This window comes from Homo sapiens, chromosome 8 (genome assembly GCF_000001405.40).
Source record: "Homo sapiens chromosome 8, GRCh38.p14 Primary Assembly".
In the NCBI taxonomy this organism is placed as follows: Eukaryota; Metazoa; Chordata; class Mammalia; order Primates; family Hominidae; genus Homo; species Homo sapiens.
The window spans coordinates 7,414,837-7,421,028 of NC_000008.11; the positions used below are offsets into that span (position 1 = coordinate 7,414,837).

The window sequence follows — 6,192 nt, forward strand, 5'->3', positions numbered from 1 at the left end:
CAATTACTAGGATAAAGATTGCGTATCTTTGGACACCATAGTTTAATTTGGTTTACATGTCGCACGTCTCTGATGAGGGAGCCCTTTCTGAATCCGCATCAGCCACAGCAGCTTCTTGGCCTCCTCATGGCTTTTTGCAGCATTTTGTTCCAGGGAGACCACAGGTGCCAATTTGTTTATACCTTCTAGGGCAAAAGACTGGATGACATATGGCTCCACTCTTAAGGCAGGTAACAGGATCGCCTATACCACCAAAAACACCTAACAGGGAAAAAACACACAAAAAGAGCAAACAGCGTGTAAGAACTCAAAACTCATGTTGGAAAAACACAAACCCTGTGTCAGTATCGCCTTGAGTAAATCCGCAGCGGGCTTCTTTCTCAAGCCTGGGCTTTTCCATCATGATAATGAGACGCGAGTCAGTCATTTGGATCTAAGTTTCTGACATGGAAACTGGCACTGCTGTGGTTTGGGGGATGTTTATTTTTGTAGAACCTGATTGTGAAAGACCCTGATCTCTCCTGAGTGACTGGGGCCTCCAGGTGGGGTCTGGTAGGAGCTCAGCAACGATCTCTTGTGAATTCAGCTCCACCACAAGAAGATAATATCAAAGCCACCATACCTCCATTTTAACACACACAAGCCAGTAAACTTTTGCTTTTTCAAATCATTTAGTCTGTTAAGTATTTGATCTGAGATGGGATAAAAAGATGCAACTTACTGAAATTGTTTAATAGGAAATTAACACCAAGTAACTTACAGTTGAAAACCACAATTAACCATAGAAATAAATTTTGTAATGGCTTGTTTCTAATATCTAAGTCCTGGTTTCAACCTCATTCTTCTTTTTTTATCCCTCCCTCCCTCCCTCCCTCCCTCCCTCCCTCCTTCCCTCCCTCCCTCCCCACCTGCCCGCCTCCCTGCCTCCCTGCCTCCCTGCCTCCCCGCCTTCCTTCATTATACTGTTCTAGGTTTTGGAAAACATGAGGTCTCTGGTGCCTCTCAGAACCCCATTGTTCTCACAAAACCCAGGACTCATAAATAAGATTGGTAAAATGAGGATTTCACAAGATGATATCTATTAGATTAATTGTTTTAGGATTTACTCTCAAATTTTCTTTTTCCCTTTCTCCATCCTTCCCTTCCACTCTCCCTCTTTTATCCTTTCATGGTTTTTATTTTATTTTCATAATATCAAGGAGAAAATGAAGGTTAGGCATCCAGGTTTAAAAGTTGGTTTCAATGGGCTGTCCCTGTCCTGTGAACCTGCAGTGGCCTAGTGGCAGGGACTGTTCTCAGGGCCTCTGATCAGAAAAGTCCTGGGGGCAGAGTGTCTGCTGCAGTAGTTCTCACAGTATAGGCTGGGCCTTAAGATTATCTGGAATTCTCTAGGTTGCAGTATCTACCCTTTAAATATAAAAATTTAGAAAATGACATTCTATACTACTTTCTTTAGATAAAATCAAAATTTCTGCCTTTTATTTAAAAAGTCACCTAACAGGTTTCAACCATAGTCTCAGCAGTTGTAGCATGGAAAGCAGTGAAGAGATGATATTTACAAGCTACTGGGCTCCTTCATATTGGCTTAGAAGAACGAGTGAGGTGTCCATTGGGTTCTCAAACTCCTTTTCTATTGAAGGAAGCAATGCTTGGTTCAATTAAATAGGGCATTCAGTCTAAAAGTGTGGGTAGAAGAAAGGAAAGAGAAAGAAAGAAAGACATGCTCTAGGGAGAGAGGAAAAAGAAAGACAGAAAAAAAGAGAGAGAGGGAAGAAGAGAGAGAAGCAGGAGAAAAGGATGGAGGGGACACACAGAGAGAGGAAGGAGAGAGAGGGATGAGGGAGAGATAGGTGGAGGGGAATGAGAGGAGACAGAGAACTTCTACGCCATTCTTCCATTTGGCCAACCCTCCTATTTCCCTGGCCCATCTCACCTGGAAGAGGCATCAGAAATATGAAGAGGAACGAGAAGAGGAGATACAAGACCCTCATGGCTGATGGCTGGGAGCTTCACCAGGAGCTGAGTCTGGGGAGGACATCAAGCCTTCCACCTTATAAAGGTCCTGGTCCCTGGTCACCAGGTAGAGTTCAGAACTGGTATTGGGTGCAATGCTCATTACAGAGGTTAGAATTCAGCCACTTACCTGGTGAGTCAGAGAATGGTCCTCAAAGAACAATGCACACTCAGGAGATCTTATGCAAATCTGGACTCAGGAAACCCCAGAAAATCCCTTCCTCCTGCTCTTGGGACCAGAAAATTCCTCCTATCTTGCACCATTTAAAACCCAGTGTGTGAATGGAGTGAGGGGCTGGGTCTGTCTCACGTGAGAACAAACTCAAACTCAGGACCTATAACCTGCCACTCACCTGCTGCCCACTCTGTGCGACGTCCTGTTTTTCCTGAGTATCTGGGGACAGTCTCAGGCCAAATTGAGAGCTCTTTCCATCTAATTCTATCCATTGCTCGGACATTCAGCTCCTGGGGATGATACAGGGCTGGCTCAAACCCAGGGACCCTGGGAGGGGCTCAGGGCCTCTGGCAGCACCGGGAGCATGGTGGGCCCCATCCTCACAGGAGATCTGAGCTGGTGAAATTTATGTGAAAGTTCCCCTGAAACTCCCCATCTTCCCCACGGGAGAGAGATGAGGCAGATGGATGCCCACTTCCTTCCTCTGAGAAGGAGAATGGGAGGATGGGATTGTGACTACATGTGTCCCCTCAGAGTTCACCCAGGCCTGGGCCAGGAGGTGGCCTACCACCCGCACTTGAGTTCCTTCCATTCACACCGTCACTCAGGGAATGTCAGCTCCACAGGACTTCAGGGCTTTGGGAGCCAGGGCTTTCTCTGCTTTCCACAGACGTCAGCGTCACTGCCCTTGGGATTTGGTGGAGAAGCACCGAGTGGGGCTGCAAGGCCTCCACGTGGTCTCCCTGTTGGTGATGGGAAACACTTATGAAGGAGCCCCATGTTTTCAGGGCTGTGTGAGGTCTCTGGTGTCTCTCAGGACCCTGTCCTTCCTCCGTAACCCAGAGTAGCAATTGGCGGCCCCAGGCAATGGACAGAGCCCCATCCCGGGCACTCAGGAGAGGGCCTTTCTTGGGAAAATGAGTGGCATTCATCCTGGTTCCTCCCTCTTTCGATCTAAGGGCAGTTTGAGAAACAAGCAGGCCCCAGTGTCCATGTCTGTGATGTCTCAGGGGTGCAGCAGTGACAGAGACATGGGGACAATGAGGCTTTCCTCATGACCTGCCTGACCTCTTCATTTAAAATGTCAGGTTCTGAAGAACCCTGATTCCTGGCAGGCCAGAGGTGGATTTAAAGGAAGCTGGTAATGATATTGTGCAGCCAAGATCCTTAATGACATTTTTATAAAAGGAAATTTCTGAGCCTAGCATGGTGGCTTACACCTGTCATCCCAGCAGTTTGGGAGGCTGAGGCAGGTGGATCACATGAGGTCAGGAGTGTGAGACCAATTTGACCAACATGGCAAAACCCCATCTCCATGAAAAATACAAAAATTAGCCAGGCATGATGGCTTACGCCTATAATTCCAGGTATTTGGGAGGCTGAGGCACGGGAGTCGCTTCCGACAGAGCAAGACTCAGTCTCAAAGAAAAAAAAAAAAAAGAAGGTTCTGATGGGGTATGCAAAGAGAGGGCTGGGTCAGATGCTGTCAGAACTGCTAAACAAATATGCATCCAGGACTGGAGCTTAGTCACCAGGGAGTCACTCTGATTGTCAGGGCTTTGTTTCCTTGTGTGTTGAGCAGGCTGGAATTGAGGGGCAGACTCATTCATTCCTGACACTAAAACTATTTCTTCCTGGTGAAGAAAGCATACAGAGAAATGGAATATGAAATAAAGCCTTTATGTGCTCTACCTAAATTAATAATTTATTTATTTTTTTTTGTATATTTGCTATGTCACCTTTAGAAAGTAAGAGGCAGCTCTCACTTGCTGCTGATGACCTGCCTCGCCATGCACATGTCCTGCCAGCACCCCACAGAAATGCTTCCATTACCCACAGTCTTTCACCAGATGAGACCAGTGTCCAGGCTACTGGCTCCTCACCTCACTTGAAGTGATGGTAAAGATGTAAAATTTGGTGATGATGTCCGAGCCTTAATGCTTCAAAGTGTAGACTTTTTGTCGAGGCTGTAGCCATTACAATGGGGCCAAAGGGAAGAACAGTAATTATTGAACATAGCTGGGGAAGTCCCAAAGTAACAAAAGATGGTGTGACTGATGCAAAGTCAATTGACTTAAAGGATAAATATAAAAGCATTGGAGCTAAACTTGTCCAAGATGTTGCCAATAACACAGATGAAGAGACTGGGGGATGGCACTATCACTGCTGCTGTACTGGTATGCTCTATTTCCAAATAAGGCTTCCAGAAGGTTAGCAAAGGTGCTAATCCAGTGGAAATCAAGAGAGGTGTGATGTTAGCTGTTGATGCTGTAATTGCTGAACTTAAAAAGCAGTCTAAACCTGTGACCAAACCTGAAGAAATTGCACAGGTTGCTACAATTTCTGCAAATGGAGACAAAGAAATTGGTAACATCATCTCTGATGCAATGAAAAAGTTTGGAAGAAAGGGCATCATCACAGTAAAGGATGGAAAAACACTGACTGATGAATTAGAAATTATTGAAGGCATGAAAATTTGATCGAGGATATATTTCTCCATACTTTATTAATACATCAAAAGGTGAGAAATGTGAATTCCAGGATGCCTATGTTCTGTTGCATGAAAAGAAAATTTCTAGTGTCCAGTCCATTGTAACTGCTCTTGAAATTGCCAATGCTTACTGTAAGCCTTTGGTCATAATTGCTGGAGACATTGATGGAGAAGCTCTAACTACACTCATCCTGAATAGGCTAAAGGTTGGTCTTCAGGTTGTGGCAGTCAAAGCTCCAGGGTTTGGTGACAATAGAAAGAACCAGCTTAAAGATACGGTTATTGCTACTGGTGGTACAGTGTTTGGAGAAGAGGGCTGACACTAAATCTTGAAGACGTTCAGCCTCGTGACGTAGGAGAAGTTGGAGAGGTCACTGTGATCAAAGATTATGCCATGCTCTTAAAAGGAAAAGGTAACAAGTCTCAAATTGAAAAATGTGTTCAAGAAATCATTGACCAGTCAGATGTCACAACTAGTGAATACGAAAAGGAAAAAGTGAGTGGAGAAACTTTCAGATGGAGTAGCTGTGCTGAAGGTTGGTGGGACAAGTGATGTTGAAGTGAATGAAGAGAAAGACAGAGTTATAGGTGCACTTAATGCTACAAGAGCTGCTGTTGAAGAAGGCATTGTTTAGGGAGGGGGTTGTGCCCTGCTTCGATGCATTCCAGCCTTGGACTCATTCACTCCAGCTAATGAAGATAAAATAATTGGTATAGAAATTATTAAAAGAACACTCAAAATTCCAGCAATGACAATTGCTAAGAATGCAGGTGTTGATGGATTTTTGATAGTTGAGAAAATTATGTAAAGTTCCTCAGAAGTTGGTTATGATACTATGTTAGGAGATGTCGTGAATATGGTGGAAAAAGACATTATTGACCCAACAAAGGTTGTGAGAACTGCTTCATTGGATGCTGCTGGCATGGCCTCTCTATTAACTACAGCAGCTGTTGTAGTCACAGAAATTCCTAAAGAAGGGAACAGCCCTGGAATGGGTGCAATGTGTGGAATGGGAGGTGGCCTGTTCTAATTCCTAGAATAGTGCTTTACCTTTATTAATGAATTGTGATAGGAAGCCCAAGGCAGTGTTCCTCACCAATAACTTCAGAGAAGTCAGTTGGAGAAAATGAAGAAAAGGCTGGCTGATGTTTAAGAAACCACTATAACCATCAGTTACTGGTTTCAACTGACAAAATATATAATGGTTTACAGCTGTCATCCATGCCTACAGATAATTTAGTTTGTATTTTTGAATAGAAAGATCTTGTACATTCCTGACACTGGGTACAAGAGCCATGTACTGATGTACTGTTTTCAACTTAAATCACTGAGGCATTTTTTAGTAAAAATGAATAGTAGTCTATTCTGTTAAAATCAGGATTTTAGTGCTTGCAACCACCAAATGAGAAGTTAAGCAGCCTTTCTGTGCAGAGTGAGAATAATTGTGTACAAAGTAGAGAAACTTCCAATTATGTGACAACCTTTGTGTACTAAAAATGTGTTTAAAGTTAA

The 6,192-nt window shown here is 44.0% G+C and overlaps 1 protein-coding gene and 1 pseudogene across 1 annotated transcript; one reads left to right on the forward strand and one right to left on the reverse strand.

Moving 5' to 3' along the window:
• Window positions 1–18: 18 nt before the first annotated feature.
• On the reverse strand, window positions 19–2,027 carry DEFB4B (defensin beta 4B). The gene is made up of 2 exons (NM_001205266.2): window positions 1,934–2,027; window positions 19–261 (listed from the first exon to the last, which is right to left on the reverse strand). The coding sequence occupies exons 1-2, from the start codon at window positions 1,989–1,991 to the stop codon at window positions 125–127; spliced, it is 195 nt and encodes a 64-aa protein (NP_001192195.1). The 5' UTR covers window positions 1,992–2,027; the 3' UTR covers window positions 19–124.
• HSPD1P3 (heat shock protein family D (Hsp60) member 1 pseudogene 3) lies at window positions 3,950–6,192 on the forward strand (annotated as a pseudogene).